General features: G+C 48.7%; 1 protein-coding gene across 6 annotated transcripts in view; it reads right to left on the bottom strand.

Annotated features, from left to right (window-relative positions):
* The window catches only part of PAX2 (paired box 2), a 94,549-nt gene continuing 91,946 nt past the window's right edge, over positions 14,346–16,948 (bottom strand). For 4 of the 6 annotated variants that reach the window (NM_001304569.2, NM_003987.5, NM_003988.5 and 1 more), the window contains one exon: positions 14,346–16,747. In NM_001304569.2, coding sequence (NP_001291498.1) covers positions 16,671–16,747 — 77 coding nt within the window. In that variant the 3' untranslated portion in view covers positions 14,346–16,670. The remainder of the gene's footprint in view (positions 16,748–16,948) is intronic. The other 2 variants (NM_003990.5, NM_003989.5) reach the window with 1 other exon arrangement.

The following is a 16,948-nucleotide window of genomic DNA, read 5'->3' as shown; positions in this document are numbered from 1 at the left end:
GTGTGTTATATGTATTATATACTGTATTCTTACAATAAAGTAAGCTAGAAAAAAGAAAATGCTATTAAGAAAATCATGAGGAAGAGAAAATATACTTACTATTCAATAAGTGGAAGTGGACCGTCATAAAAGTCTTCATCCTCGTTGCCTTCACACTGAGTAGGCTGAGGAGAAGGAGGGAGGAAAGGGGTTGGTCTTGCTGTCTCGGGGTGGCAGAGGTCAAAGATGTGGAGGACGCAGAACAGGAGGCAGGAAAGGCAAGCACATTCAGTGTAACTTTTTTGGAAAAATTCTGCATATAAATGGATCCATGCAGTTCAAACCTATGTTGTTCAAGGGTCAACTGTATTTACATAGCTCAAAAAGCAACCAAATACAAGGTTATAGTTGTCTTCTATTAAGTCCCTATAGGCAACCTTTTTGAAAATGATTAGTTACATCTTCTGATATGTACTTCCCTACTTCTGTGGCCATATCATGCTTATATTGCTATTTTTGACTTTTCACTTTATCTCTAATATTATAGATATCATATGTATTATGTGTACATATATCTATAAATATTCAGGAATTTTAACAATTATTATTCTCTGAATATACCTTAAAAACACACCCTGGCCAGGTGAGGTTGCTCACACCTGTAATCCCAGCACTCTGGGAGGCCGAGGCAGGTGGATCACGAGGTAAGGAGATTGAGACCAGCCTGGCCAACACGGTGAAACCCCGTCTCTACTAAAAACACAAAAAATTAGCCGGGCATGGTGGCACGCGCCTGTAGTCCCAGCTACTCGGGAGGCTGAGGCAGGAGAATTGCTTAAACCCGGGAGGCAGAGGCTGCAGTGAGTTGAGATCACACTACTGCACTCCAGCCCGGGCAACAGAGCGAGACTCTGTCTCAGAAAAAAACAAAACAAAACAAACCACACCCTGTCTTTTTTTCATGGATGTGTTTCTTATACCTCTCTGAGGTTATTAATTGCAGGTTTGTTTGTTTTTTTAAGCTTTCTTCTCTTCTCTGAATATTCTTTGATACTTTCAAGTTCTTTTTTTTTCTTGAGATGGAGTTTCTGTCATCCAGGCTGTAGTGCAGTGGTGCAATCTCGGCTCACGGCAACCTCCACCTCCTGAGTTCAAGTGATTCTCATGCCTCAGCCTCCTGAGTAGCTGGGATTACAGGCATGTATCACCATGCCCAGCTATTAACTAATTATTATAGAAGATGAGGATTGGGATCTCTTATGTCACCACCTATAATCATTTTGTCTTTGGCCCAATATATTTATATCACAATTTGGGGTAAAAATCAATCAATATATCACATTTATGTATATAAGTGTGTAAATTTTTTTTTGAGATGGAGTCTTGCTCTGTTACCCAGGCTGGAGTGCAGTAGCTCAATCTCAGCTCAATGCAAGCTCCGCCTCCTGGGTTCAAGCAATTCTTCTGCCTCAGCCTCCTGAGTAGCTGGAATTACAGTCACCTGCCACCACGCCTGGCTAATTTTTGTATTTTTAGTAGAGACGGAGTTTCACCAAGATGGCCAGGCTGGTCTCGAACTCCTGACCTCAGGTCATCCACCCACCTTGGCCTCCCAAAGTGCTGGGATTAGGGGCGTGAGCCACTGTGCCCGGCCTGGTCTTTATCTTTTATGTTAGAAACTTGTCCTAAATCATTAGCATCTTTTCCTGTCCATCAATACACAAAGGTAGGGCACTAAATGACCGCTTGAAAGCTCTGTGCTAATTTTAGGACCTGTTGATTAGTGGACATCACTGAAGAATGATCAGTTGGAGACCCGGATGTTTTGTGGGGGGACTCTGATTGTCAGTATTTAGAGGTCTTTTTTGGGGGGCTGGTCAGTTTGTTCAGTTTCCAGCTTGGAGGGCTGAACAATGGAAGACAGCTGCCAGCTTTCTGAAGTTCAAGATGGGGGAGATAGCTACTCCCCAAATTTAACCAGCTCATTTCAATATAACATGGGTTAAACATTGAAAACTTCAAACATATATAAAAGTAGAGAGGAGTATAATGAACCCAGCTCCAACGGTTATCAATTTATGGCCAGTCTTATTCTATATATTCCTCAGCCAACTCTACCCCCTAGATTATTTGATAGCAAATCCAAGATATCACATCATTTAATTTATAAATATTTCAGTTTATATTTTTAAAGTAAATGACTTTAAAATAACCATAATATCACTAGCACATCTAAAAACTTAATAGTGTCCAGTTAATGCAGTGCTTACATGTCCCTGATTGCCTCATAACATCTTCTACTCTTCTTTCTCTTCCTCCTCTTCCTGCTCCTTCTCCTCCTTTTAATTACTTGCAAGATTCAAATATAATGCAATTAGTTGATATATCTCTCAAGTCTGTTTTAGTCTATCCATTTTTTTCTCTCTTTCAATTTTTTAATTGAGGAAGCCAGGATATTTACCCATAACCTGGAGTTTTTGGATTGCATCCTTGAGGTTCCTCTGCTCACAGTATTTTCTGCAAGATAGTAGTTACATCTATAGGCTTGATTAGATTTAGATTAGATTTTTTTTGAAATATCACTTTATTTATTTATTTATTTATTTATTTATTTATTTATTTATTTAAGATAGAGTCTCTCCCTGTTGCCCAGGCTGGAGTACAGTGGCGTGATCTTGGCTCACTGCAACCTCGGCCTCCTGGATTCAACCCAAGGTATATATAGCTCATATAAGAAAGGCAGTAGAAATGCTTGGTTTTTTTTTTCGATCAGTTTACCAAATTATGAGTTGGCTCTCTACCATCCTTCAAAGAAGATTAGTAAGGTTTTTCTTTTAAGTATAATGATTATTCATGGATTTAAATTTATTAGATGAGTTTCAATCAATTGCAGTTATTATAAACACTGATGCTCAATTGTATCATCTTTGGCAAATGGGAGCCTGTAATTAGTGCACAAGTCCTTTTGAAATGACCCTAGTAGTCTTTCATAGCTTCCTCGCTTTCTGGTATAAGATTTCCAGAATGATCTTGTACATGTCCTGTTTCAGATCTGAAATTTTTCATTTCCCCCAAAGAGCCCTGGTTCTTTTTAATGCAAAATGGTATTTAAAGACCACAGTCTGGAGACTAGAGGTGCTTATTGCTACTGAGTTGGTTGGTTTCTTGTCTTTTTCAATGCATAAAGCCATGAAATACATTTTTTAAAGATAAAATACATCAACAGTTATTACTGATACTTCCAAATCAAATGCAAGACTATGGGGATTTTACTAATCACCACTGATCTTCCATCTGTTTTTGTTTGTTTATTTCTCCCTTACCAAAAAACTCTAAGAACATCAATCTCATTACTTATTGGCTTTATTAGTGTATATCCCACTAGGGATGTATGTAGAGTCAATTACTGGATTTTAAATTACTTGAAATAGTTTATCTATGTGATTATAATACCAACTTAGTAGATAAGTTCATTTGTTTCATTTTGCTTTTGATTTTTTATGGATTACTTATTTACATACTTGATTTTATTGTGTTATTATATAAAGTATCTATATGGTTTTAATCTATTTTTAAAAATCTATTGAAAATTTATACTCAGTGATGTCTACCTTCTACCCCATCCTCTTCACTTTGTTTCCTCCTTTCTCCAATAATTATTTTTAAAATATTTTGTTTATCTTTTCATTTCAAGAAATGTAAGCAAATAAGAATATATATTCATATCCATCCTTTCTTTCTTAAACACTTGCCCATTACACACATTTTAATCCACCTTAATATTGACCTTTTAAAAAATGTATGTCTAGGAATATGTCACTTGTTTATCCTTTGGCTCAACCTGCTCCCTGGTTTTTTTCTCACTGGTTTGTCACACACTTCTAAAAGCAGATACCCAATGACAAGAGCAAGAATGTGCTTTAAAGGCAGATGTGGATCTGAGTCTGAATTCCAGCTCTGCCCTTTACTTGCTATGTGACTTTAGACAAATATGTTTAATCTCTCTGGGTCTCATTGTCTTCATCTGTAAAACGAATAAGATAAAACCTTCTTCCTTGGGTTATGGTGAATAATCTGCAGAAGAACAGTGCCCAGCACATAGTAAAGATCAGATATGTGAGTTGTTTTCAATTGTGTTACTCTGGGTTTTCTTTTATATTCTTGTCAATGTGATGATTCCAAGAATCTTACAAGTACTGAATATGATTTGCCCTATTTCAGCTCCTGAAGGAGCAGACACCTCTCAGGCTAAGTGAACAGTCAAGAGCACTGAAAGGGGTCAGGGCTGCTCAGATAGTATCCACAGTTGGGGGCTGGCTTGCTTTGATCCTGGCCAGCCTAACAGAGCTATGTCCTGTTCTGCAAAGCCACCACCACTTCTTGCCTTCCTTCTTTTCTTTTCCCCTTCCCTTCCCTTTCCTTTCCTTTCTCCTTCCTTCCTTCCCTTCCTCCCTCCCTCCCTCCCTCCCTCCCTCCCTTCCTTCCTTCCTTCCTTCCTTCCTTCCTTCCTTTTTTTTTGTTTTTAGAGTCTCACTCACTCTGTCACCTAGGCTAGAGTGCAATGGCACGAACTCGGCTTACTGTAACCTCCGCCTCCTGAGTTAAGTGATTCTAGTGCCTCAGCCTCCTGAGTAGCTGGGATTACAGGCGTGCACCACCACACCTGGCTAATTTTTGTATTTTTTAGTAGAGACAGGATTTCACCATGTTTGGCCAGGCTGATCTTGAACTCCTGATCTCAAGTGATCCACCTGCCTCAGCCTTCCAAAGTACTGGGGTTACAGGCGTCAGCCACTGTGCCCAGCCCCCAGTTTTCTTTCTCGGCTGAGCTCTTTCCTATCCCAGGCTGCAACATCCTTCCAGAAGCTTCTTCCAGCCTCTGCAGCATCCTGAGGAAGCTTCCTTTTAAACTTGGAAAGGGCTTTCTTACTCTATTCTCAGAGCCCTGGGGCTTAGGTTAAGAGCTCCATCCTCTTCCCTTCCACTGCCTTTGAGGTTTTATGATCATGTGACATCATTACCACACTCTGCCATCATGTGATTGCATCATTATATCGGTAACCATTACTAAGTTAACACAATTACACTGTCAGATTGTCATATCAAGTTGCTGGGTTGTGTGCCTTGTTACAGTCATTTCAACACTACAATATCACTGATTACATGGTTACCTCATTATAGCCCAGTACTGTTAACCTATAGTGCACCGACCCATCATTTCCTGGCTGACAGTAGCAAATTGCCATATGGTTATACTGTTTTTGGATTACATCGTTACAGCCCTACACTACACTATCACTTGTATCTTGGCAGTGATACATCATCTTTACTGTGCTATGGTATTATAGGATTATTTTGGGTTAATACTATACTGTTACTTTGTTACAGAATTAAATTGGCCCATCCAAACTGCAATGCAAAACTGGAGACTAGGAGAGTGGGGCAGGAGGGTATATCTCCCCATTCTACATCCAGAGGCCAATTTACTCCCCTGAGCTACTTCCCTGTAATTCTGTCTATTGGCCATCATGCCCTGGCATGTCAAACTCAGGCACAAATACTCAATATGCAAAGGCATGTCATGATCTCTAGCCCCAAGTTAGCGTCTCTTCTTACCTCTGCTGGTGGCCCATCAGCTGCCAGGCTCTTGGAACACCCTTGGAGGCAATCATCTTTGCCCTATCTCTCCTCCTCACCTTCATAACCAATTGGCAGCCAAGTCCAGATATGCTACCTCAGTGAGGCTACCACCAGGCCTTCTTGGGCCAGACACTTGGAGATGGAGCCCACCCAGCTTACCTGTCCCCCTCTGTCCCTCAGGGAGACTTCCTTATCACAGATCTTCCTTCCACAGGTCAACCTGCATCTCTCTCTCTCTCTCACTCTCACTCCATTTCATCCCCCATCTCATCATTGCACTAGCCTTCTAATAGTCTCCCTGCCTCAAACTTTCCCTTCAACCACCTTGTCTGGCAGCTAGAATTAACTTGTAAATAAAACTTTGCATCAGGTCACCTTAGAAGTAGTCAGTGCCCTCCCCCCAGTTAAGGATAGGAAAATGGTCAAACAGTCTGGCATTGATTGCCCTTCACAAACTGGTCTCCCTGGCCCTCATCTCTCTCATCCAGTCAGTACCCAAGTCTTGTCAGTTCAACCTCCAGCAAATATATGAGTATCAGTTTTGGAAAGTTCCCTTTCCAACTATTACCCAATATTTCCAACTATTACTTCTCCCTTGAACAACCCCATGCTTCAGCCAGCCCATGTTTGCACAGAGCCTGCTTCTTTCAGACCCCACTTCCCTACTCTTCTGGGAAGTCCTCCTAACCATTCTCTCTGCCATTCTACTCTGCAGCCCTCAGCAGCCTCTCCCTCGTCTGAGCCCACAAGGCACAGCTGATTTGGGTCAGTTTGATGGGCTCACAAATATTCTCTGAGGGTTTCTCAGCCTCTAGCCAACCCAGCTTGTCTTGGGCTATCAAGAGAGTTCTGACACTGGGGAACTTGGCCTCAGACAAGGGGGAGAGCCAAGACAGGGCTAGGCAATTCTTCATTCAGTACATTTATTCTGGTATCCATTAAATGCCAGGCTCTGAGAAAAAAGACATTGACTCCACTCTTGTGAAACTTAACATTTTTGTGGAAAGACAGATAATGCACAAGTACTTGCCAGATGACATGTTGATGAATGAAAAAATTTGAGGAGCTGTAAAAGCATATCAAGCAGTCAGGGAGGGCTTCCTGGTGGAGGTGACATTTAATCTGCGATCTTAAGGATCATCAGGAGTTAGTCAAGTGAACGTGGGGATTGCAGGGTAGGAGTACTTCATGCTGAGAGAACAGCCTGTGCAAAGGTCAGAAGGGAGGGGCAGTGGGGCTGGAGCAGAGAGCAAAGGAGCATGCTGGAGGCAAGGCCAGGGCACAGGCTGAAGCTTCGTGGCTTGTAAGTCAAGGGTTTGAACTTGATCTCTTGCAGGCCCATGATGATCCCCAGAAGAGTGTTAAGCTGGATGTTAGTATCAGGGAGGGAGGCAGTGCAGCAGGATGTTATTTGCATTAAAAAAAAAATAACATTAGCCACAAGCAAGAGCCTGAATCAGGAGAGCAGGCAGAGCAGATGATGGCTCAGCCTTGACTGGTGGCAGAGAGCTAGAAGCAAGTGGACCAGATGTGATGTATTTACAGGAGGCTGAACTCTCAGGATTTGGATTTTGATTGGATGGGAGAGATGAGGGAGTGGGAGGAGTCAAGGATAATGATGGGATTCTGGCTTGAGCCATGGAGTGGATGATGGTGCTGTTCTCTCAGATTAGGATCAATGGATGGGACAAAATTGTGCCTTGGGTTCTGCACACATGTTCACCTAGGATGTTTGAGAATAATGACAGGGGAGTGTGGGGAGTTTGGGCCTCACCCAGTCAAGGGGTTGAAGAAGTCTTCCTGGTTGGACTAGCTGATGGCAAGGCCATGACTAAATGTGGCTGAGGGGCCAAGATAGGAGGTTGGGCCTACGACTGGGATCTGGGGGGACCTGAAAGTCAGAGGAGCAGGAGGCCTGGAGGCTTGGAAGGGGACCCAGGGTGGCCCAAGGCTTGGGTGACTCCAGCATTGGTTGGTGACAGACGGCTAGGTTGGGCTGGGCTGCCCTCTCCTCCTCCGATAATTAATCCCGCACGGGGGCCGCGGGCGATGACAGGGCTGTCTAGCGTGCACTTAAGCATTAAATGACCAATTTCTGTCAGACTAACTTCCCCAACCTCCCCATCCCCTCCCCTGCTGCCCACCCCCTGCCTGTACCCCCTCCTCCGCCCCCTGCACTCTGAGTTTTTCAGCAACTGATGGCTCCTGGTTCATTTCTGTGGAATTAATTGGTCCCTGAATGAATTCTGTTGACAGGGCAATTTATCATGTGTTTGGGCTGACAGTGCGGGTGTTGGGGGTAGGGGGTGGGGATATGGACTAGGGGGGACGGGATGAGGGGGAGGAGGGGGTTTGAGTTGGGGTGAATATTGACCCTAGATGGTACCAATGCAAGGGCTTGGGGTACCATAGAACACCCCAATTGTGGCTTCATCCTTGGCTACACATCCTGACCTCACAAGTTTAAGAGAAAACCCCAAATTGGAGAGGAGCCCCCAAACTTTGTCCGGTCTCTCTAACTCTTCAATCAACCCAAATGGGGATATGGTCACTGGGGAAATGCAGCACCACCCTACATTAACACTCATAAGGCTGGAATGGGGCCTGGGGTTCTGGGTGAGAATAAGGGAGAGTATGTGTGTGTGTGCGCATGCGTGTGTGATGAGGACGCTCATGCACTCAGAGTGAAGAACTGATTAGTCTGCGGGGTAAAGGGGCTGGTCCCCAGGGAGTTGGGCGCTCAGCCGGCCTGGCTAACAGGGGCCTAAGGGACTGGCTAATTAGGGTATTGGAATGGTTTGGTCATGCAGAGGTGTGGGGGGAGGCTGGAAATGTTCTGGGCCCCAAAGAGCAGCTTCCTTTGTCTCCCTCCCCTAGTGCCCTACCCTGCACCCTCAGGGGTCCCCTTAGATCACCATTCATCTGCCTCAATGCTTACAGAGACCCACCCCAGAGACCTCTGGGCAGAGAGTGGGAAGAGAGATAGGAAAAGGCAGTCCTAACTCTCAGATGGGGAAGGTGGCAGCAATAAATAAATCCATGCCTCCTCCTTCTGTAGATTAAAGAGCTTTCCCCCATCCCCTTCCCCATCTGAGTGCACCCACCTCACCTCTACAGAGCTTACTCGAACTCCTTCTGGCCACAGAGATTGCCTGAGCACCTACAGTCTAGAACTATGGAAGCCTAGAATGTCCAAGTGGGAAGGAGCCCTAGTGGTCATCTGGTTTTACACACAAGGAAACTGAGGCACAGAGAGAGTGAGGTCTGTTGAAGGTCACATAGTGACCTTGTGAGCCAGCCTTGTGACTCTCTTGTGGGTCCCTTTTGCCTTCAGTGTGGAGATGCCTCCGTACACACATGGTTTTTCTTCTGCCTCTAGGTTGCATGGTGGGAATTCTTTGGGGTGCAGGTGGTGGCTTTCTCACATAAGGCAGCTGAGGCTACACCTGGGCACTTGAGGATGAACAGTCACAGAGATCAGACTGTGAGCATGGGCTCAAGGTTCTGCCGGGGTCCAGTCAGCTAGGGAGGCCCCTTGGAGAAGGGAGATGTGGATGGAGTTTGGGAGTGGGGGCAGTGTAATCTTGGGGGCCTGGCTTCTGTGTCTTGAAGGATGGAGCCCAGGACCTCCCCACAGTGTGAGCTCTCCCTGCTGCTGTTGGCCATGTGCTCCTGCTGCCCTCACAACTTCCTTCTGAATCCCCAGAAGAGATTCTTCCAAAATTCTCTACCCGCTCAAGGCAGGATCCAGTCCTGCTCCCCTCACTCTCAGCAGACAGCAGCTGTGGCTCCTACAATCTTTCTGAGCAAATCTAGTGGACCCTGTCCCTTCAAGACCTTCCTCTCCCAAGCAGAATTTTCTGGTTCCTCTCCACCCCTCCCCACATGCCTCCACCCCATTCTTTCAGGCCCCTCATGTCCATCATGAGCAGCTTCTCTTCACATCCCTGCCTTCCACCCTCTGCCTCAACCACAGGCTTGTCCACACAGCCCTCGGCCAAAAAGAACCTTCTCTTGAGCTCACAGACCATACAATCCCCAGGCCCCTCTCCTGTTCTCCTCCTTTCCAAATATTTGAAAAGAATCAGTTACACTCTGCCCCTTTCTACATCCTTACATTTTAGCCACCCCCCACTTCCATCTGCAGAAAACACTAGCTTGGAGGTCACCAGGTATCTGCTATTCTCCAAATCAAATGGCCTTTCCCTCAGTCATAATAGAACATCAAGAAAAGCCAAATTTGGCTTATTCATTATGCTTATATGTGTCAAGGACCTGGTTGTCTCTTTACATTTCTTAATTGAAATTTTATTTTTCATTAAAGTCAAAATTAGGTTTTAAAAAATTATAGTCACAGAAATGACTATACTTGCCCTGTCCCCGTCCACATAGTTCCCAGCTCAGAGACACCATTTTATCTTTCTGTTTATGTGTATATAAGCAAATGTGAGAAAGATTCTTATTTTCTCTTTCTCATGCAGCAGGTCTTCTGATCTGCACTTGTCTTTCTTTTTTACCTAAAAATAAAACTGTGTCATGCTTCCTTGTCAGTTTCCTTCAGGAGCTAATCTAATCATTAGCATAGCTTCCCATCATCTCTTGCCTCAACCATGGTAGTGGTCTCTTACAGTTCTCCCTGCACCCACTGTCTCTCCTTGTATTCCACTTCTTCATTATGCATAGAGCACTCTTCCAAAAATGTGACTTATTAAGCTATTCTCTCTGCTCAAAAACTTTCCATAGCTCTCGTTGCCTCTAGGGGAAAAAAATAAAAAATCCAAAGCTCTTAACAGAGCATGTGTGTCTTCCAGAACTGCTTAAATCAGAACTTTTTTGGTTGCAAATGACAGACCCAACAAATTTGTTTAAGCCAAGAAAGAAGAAGGTATTGAATTTTGATCCTGGAAATCCAAAAATGGGGCTTGCTTCGGGCCTAGCTGGCTCCAGAGGTTTGAATGATAGTACCAGAGTTGGTGTTTTTTTTTGTTTTGTTTTGTTTTTTGTTTTTTTCCTCTACCTCTCAGCTCTGCTGGTCTCTGTTTGACTCTGAGCATGACTTCACCCTTGGGCAGACATTCTCCACGTGGAGTCTCAAGCCCTCATCATTGCAGCTCACAGGCCAAAAACCCCTCCTCTCTTCCAGGACTCCATAACAACGCTCCTGAGAGAACTCCCATTGTTTCTAACTTTTTATCTCTGTGCTGTGGCCAGGGACATGGGGTCCTCATTGGCCAGAGGAGCGTCACAAGACCAAATATGTGGTAGGAGCTGATGGGGCACTGTGATTGACAGTCCCACGAGAACTACACAGGATGGTAGAGGGGCAGCTTCCCAATGGAAGGAGGGATGCACTCTCGATGCCCCCCACGGGGACTGTGAGAGGTGCTTTGAGTTGTAAGGAACAGAGAGTCACCCCAAGGAATGGTGGGAGTTATTTGAGGTGTTCAGTGCAGTTTGAGTCTCAATCCTCTGTGCTGCAGGAGAGGCAGGAACATGTGCCCTCTCAGTCCTCCTCATTAGCGACTCAGCTACTCTCTCTGTGGGTCATCCTCCTCTTCACATGATTGAGGGCTCCTACCATCAGGCTCAGAGAGCACGGTGAGCCTAGGGAGGTGATGGGAGGTGGGTTAAGATGGTGGTGGCGATGGGGAGGGATTTTGACTTTGACGCTGAGAGAGATGGGGAGCCACCGAAGGTTTCTGGGCAGAGGAGGGACATGAATTGCCATACATTTTGGGGGACCATTCTGGCTGCTGGAGGGAGGCAAAGATGGAAGCAGGAAGGCCAATTAGAACTTTCTGTTTGCAAGCTCAGGTGAAGGACCACAGTGGCTTGATCCTGGATAGTCCAGTACAGGTAGTTGGAAGAGGTCATGCTCTGGATAGATTTTAAAGGTAGAATTGTCTGGTTTTGCTGATGAATCAAACGTGGGATGCAAAAGACAGGAGGAGTCAGGGAAGATGTGGGTTTTTGGGCTTGAGTGATACAAATGGAGCTATCCTTTACTGAGGTGAGGAGGACTAGGGGATGCCCTCAGGGCCTCCTTTGGGCTTTTCTTTTCGTGGTTAATGGCCTCTTTCTTTCCATACTTCCTAGTTTTGTTTTCCGAAAGAGGAGGATTGATTGGTTCAGCGTGGACTTGTGTTCCAGTCCAATTCTGTACCAGTAACAGAGTCACTGGTACAAATACATTGTCTACATGGGCAGGAAGTAGCTGTGGGTAGGGCAGCTTCCTTAAAGGAGCTGTGTGTGTGACAGGTACAATTTGGAATGCCCATGACAGTGTTCTAATTACATTTGTAGCTTCATCTCCTGCCACCTCCCTCCACAACCCCCCCCCCTCCCCTGGCACCTGATACTCCAGCCACATTGATTGTATCTGGTGTATTTTCATGACTTCCTGTCTTTGCTCCTGCTCTTCCCTCAACCCAGGACACTTCTGTTCATCTGTTTCTAACTGTCATACTTGGTGTGCCTCAGCTGGGAACTCTGTAGAGGTAGGATGGGGACAGAGCCAGCAGAGTCAAAATGACTTCTGGAGAAAACAAACTGAAGCAGGAGAACAGGCCTTCTTTGTTTCTGGGGTGGGTGAGTGGGGTTGCAACTGGCCAAGGATGATAGATCATGTTTTCGGGCCCTCAGGCTGATTCCAAGCTGAAATCAGTATTCTAGGAGGGACACCATATGAAGCTTCTGGGCAGAGGTGCTTACTGTAAACAGTGGAATGTTTGCTGTCCATCCAGTTCAGTCTGAGAGAGACCAGAAATAGAACAGAAGAGGTTCCAGTGAGACCCACATAAGAGGCCATGGCTCCCAAATTGATGGAGTGGGCAGGGCAAGGCTCCCTGTCTGGGGTGGACCTGGAGGCAAAGCCAGGCACTGGGGGTCTGGTACCCACTATATATGATGAGGGCAGTGTTCACTGGGCTGCCCTGGCCCAAGCCAGTGCCCTGGCAACTTCCAGAAACGTACTTGCTGGGCACCAGGCAATAGTCAGGAGTTCTGCCATGCTGGGTTTTCATGGGTTATGACCAGGATCTCCAAAGTGGGGTGCACGTCTTCCAGGGAGTGCAAGATAATCCATTTGGGTGTGAGAACATTAGAACTTCTATTTTCACATATTCCAAACTCGTTCTTTTAATATTTTATCTTTTACACGATTCATAATATGTTAGCCCAGTAGTATATTTATGGAATTTGTAAATCAGTAAATATACTTATATTGGGAGTACACATTCAGAATTCTTTTGGCTGAGAGGGTGTATGATCAAAGAAGTTTGAAGGCCACTCTTCTAGGAGGCTGGCGGTCAAGACAGCCAACACCAGGCAGGGTGAAGGGTGCAACTGCCATTTGCTGAGATGAAGAATCGGGAGACACAGGTGCAGAGGGAGGGGGAAAGGAATGGACTTTATTGAAGGTTTGCTGATTTGTTGGGGTCCTGTACATCCCCTAGAGGGTGCCGTGATATGGGTGAGCCTGGGCAGATTGACTTGAAAGAAAGGTCTCTGGGATTCTGATGGGAAGGAGGTGTCTAGGAGACACTGTCCCAAGCCAAAGGGGAAGGTCACTTCTTAGTCTGCCCCAATGTCCTGCTTGCATCCCTGGCAGCTCAGAGATTCAAGAGCCTTTCAAGTGGGAGGAAGCTGTGGTAGAAGCTGGGCTGGGAAGGTGTCCCAGGGGCACAGAAGGAAAGTTTCCAGGTGGAAGCTGGGCCCTTTGTGTTGACAAGAGTGTGGGAGGACCAGAGCTGGGAAGCTGCTGAAGGGATGGAAAGGCGATCCTCCCAAGTATCTCTGATGCAGCAGAACAATCCTGGACAGTCACCACATCCCCCTTCCCCCTGCAACCTCTCCTAAACAGAGAACAGAGAGGTGGAGACATACAGATCTTTCACTGGACACCTGGACACAAGAACAGCAAGGATGGCTAAAAAAACAATTCTCCTACTACCACACCCCCAGACCCATCCAGGGACATACAGACGAACACATAGATGAACAGAAAGCCATACCTATGCAGGAACCCGCCGACCGCCCCGCGACAGACATAGGCGCCTGCGCGCCCTCTCCGGGACACACCCAGACCACAGCACAAGGCGCACCAATTTCAGCCGCTGCTTGCTGGGGCTGGGGCTCCGCAAGACACTGGAGGCGCGTGAAGTCCCATGAACCAGCTCCTAGGGCCTCTGCGGGGCATTCTTCGGGCCCAGAAGTAAACGCAGAGCGAGGAAACTTGCGGCAAGCGTCTGCGGTCTTCGCGTTTCATTGCAGACTTCGGGGATAAAATTGCTGCTGCGCCCACGCGCAACTGCACTGGATAGGGAACGGAGGGAGGAGATAGGACAGACGACCACCCCTCCACCCACGTGGAGAAGGCCTCAGACTTCGGGTTCTGAGAGCCAGCACCCTAAATCTGGGTGCGGGTGTACTGGTAGGACCACAGAGTTGGCCTAGTATAGGCGCCTAACTAGGAGTTATTCTGAAGTTTCGGAGAGTAAGAACTTCCTGTCCCCAGGGCCGGGGTGCGTGGGGGAGGGTGGCTACTAAAGGGCAGGCTAGTCTCGGCCTTCGCCGTGGTTCAGCTGCCGCCAAGGGGGTCTCGGCAAAGGAGTTGGAGGTGGCAGCGGGAGTGTAGTTGGGAGGATCATTGAAGGGGCTTTTGGGGATCGACCAATGGAGGGGAGGCCCATCTCAGAGACAGGGAGAGACAAACTTGGAGCCATGGGGAGTGACATACAAAATTTTATTCTTTATTTATTATTATTATTTATTTCTTATGTGCACAAAAGAAAAAGAATCAAAACGAACCGACGCACTGAAAGTGGCCGAGGAGACCAGAACCGTCCGGGGACATTTAGCAGGTTAGGCCTGGGCCTGGGTCCGGGGTCTCTGCCCGGCCAGCCCCACAGGACTGGGATGGGCCGGACCTCGGCGCCCTCGCCGCCCTCGCCGCCCCGTTCGGGCCACTGGAGCCTGGCTGGGCGCCGGGTTCCCTTAAACGATTCTCTTTTCTCTTTTTCCTTCTCAAATAAAAAGGGCTCGCAGGGGAGAGAGATCTGGGCGAGGACTCCAAGCCTTTTCGGATTTGTTCAAGGATTTTTATTTATTTTCACTTTATTGACTTTGTTTCTGTTATTTCGAGTCGTCACGATCCACGGGTGAGGAGACATGCAGGGCGCATCGCCACTACCGAAAGAGCAACTACGGGGCGGGACGGGGCGGCCCGGCCTTCGGCCGCCCGGGGCGCGCGGGGCACGCCCGCGAGGGGGCGAGCCCGGGGGCTGGAGCTGCCACCTCGGATCTAGCCTGCGGAGACAGGGCGGCCGGGCCAGGTCTGGGGAGAGAGGCCGAGGAAAGAGCAGAGACAGACAGACAAGAGCGACAGAGACGGAGAGAGACAGAGACAGAGGGGGAGAGAAGCGGAGAGGAGAGAGGGGCAGAGGGAGAGAGGGGCAGGGAGGAAAAAGCGAAAACACGGAATTACAGAGAAAGAGCCAACAAAACAGGCCAGAGGAGTCCACAGGACCATGTTCGTCATTTTGCATAGAGATTTCTTTTCTTTCGTAATTTTTTTTTGTAACATAAAAAATGCCCCCCTCCCCCAGGACGTGCTGTGCTTTAATGGGCGTGTAGCTGTGTCCCCCCCTTCCCCCCCAGCGAGCGGCGACTCTCACAGCACAGACAGCGGGGCGTATCTACAGGCAGGGCCGGCGGGCGACAGGGACTCTACGGGGCCGGGCGGGGCGGGGCGGAGGGGGAGGGGTTATGTACACCGGGTTTCGCCTTCACACGACACACACCGTCTTTCCACAAAGCAGCAGCCTGGTGGGCTTTTGTGTTGTTTTGTTCCTTTTTGCAAAGACCATCATATTAAATAAATGTAGACTTTTTGTGGTTCTGTTCAGTTCCTGCCGGAGGAGGAGGCTGGGAGGGGATGGGAGGAGTGGAGTGGGCAGCCCCCCACTTCCACCCCGCAGCAGCTCAGACGCCAGCTCAGAACCGGTTCTTACCACCGGCAGATTGAGAGTCTGTGTCGGGGGAGGGGGCATCAAGTAACTGCTGGAGGAAGACCCCAGTCCGCAGTCTATGGAAACTGGTCCTGCGGCGGTCCCGGGAGAGCGTCCGATGGGGCTGCGAGTCAGGGAGGAGGATGCAGGGCGTCAAGGGACAGGCGAAGGACTGGCAGGAGGGGAAACTGGGAGGCCAGCAGGTGGAAGAGACGCTGAGGTAGGGGCAAGGCAGGGCTGAGAGCCGGGTCTCGCAGCAGGAGGTGCCGGGCCCTGGGGAACTAGGCAGGCCAGGAGGAGCAGTGAAGAGCCGAGAGTCCGGCTCGATCGGTGCGGGCTGCTGGGCCCCCCGATCCTTGGGTCCCAACCTTGGAAAGACCTGACGCCCCCAAAGCCCGTTCCTAGAGCCGGACCCCCACACCCCCATTCCATCTTCTGGGACAGGGCACACCCGGAAGGCGAGGGCAGTCCGGCTGGCACTGGGGGAAAAGAATTTTTCCCAGGGATTCGGCAGCGGGCTCTTCCTCCTGCAGAAAGTCGTTTTCTTCTTAATCTCCTTGGCCCAGCCCCTCCAGCGAAGCCTCCTGGCGCCCGAGCGTCCGAGGCGGGTGCCCGGGGCTGGGCCGCGCTGCGGTCCGCGCTGATTGTGTGTCACAGAAACATCCGGCGCGCGCCAGCAGGTCGCGCCCGAGTCCGGCAGGGTGGCTGGCGGGCTTCGGGGCTGGCTTGGTGGAGGCCGGGACGAGCTGGGCCGAATCCCCCTCACGGCGCCGCGCAGTCCAGGCAGGCGGGGAGGGGCGGCAGGCGGGGCTGGGGGCGGCGGGCCCGGGCCTGAGGGTCCCGCCCACGGCTCCACCCGTCCTGTCCGACCTTCGAGGGGGGTGATGTGAAGGGTTGCGGGGGTCGTGGGATGGGGTGAGGCTGGGGCGGTGGCCGGGAGGCATCGCGTCGCGTCGGTCCTCCCTCCCTCCGGGGTGGGGTCAGACGGGGACGATGTGGAGGCCGAAGCTGTCGGCCTGAAGCTTGATGTGGTCCCCGCGGTAACTAGTGGCGGTCATAGGCAGCGGCAGCAGCGGCAGGGGCGGAGCCCCGGGGGGCGGCACTATAATAATAAGGGGAACCTGGAAGTTAACACAGGAGAAGAATGGGCTGGGTGAGAGGACAAACAGGAGAACAAAAAAGGAAAGAAAAGCACAGAAAAGACCTCCCCTGGCTGGGGTCCAGCGGGATCCGGACTGGGAGACCTTGGCTGGGCAGTGGAGCCAGTTGCCCCGGAGAATAGTTGCGTTCACGGGGCATGAGAGGGACCCGATCTGGTGACG

This window comes from Homo sapiens, chromosome 10 (assembly GCF_000001405.40).
Source record: "Homo sapiens chromosome 10, GRCh38.p14 Primary Assembly".
In the NCBI taxonomy this organism is placed as follows: domain Eukaryota; kingdom Metazoa; phylum Chordata; class Mammalia; order Primates; family Hominidae; genus Homo; species Homo sapiens.
The sequence above is the reverse complement of the archived record's forward strand: the minus strand, read 5'-3'. Positions and strand labels throughout refer to the sequence as shown.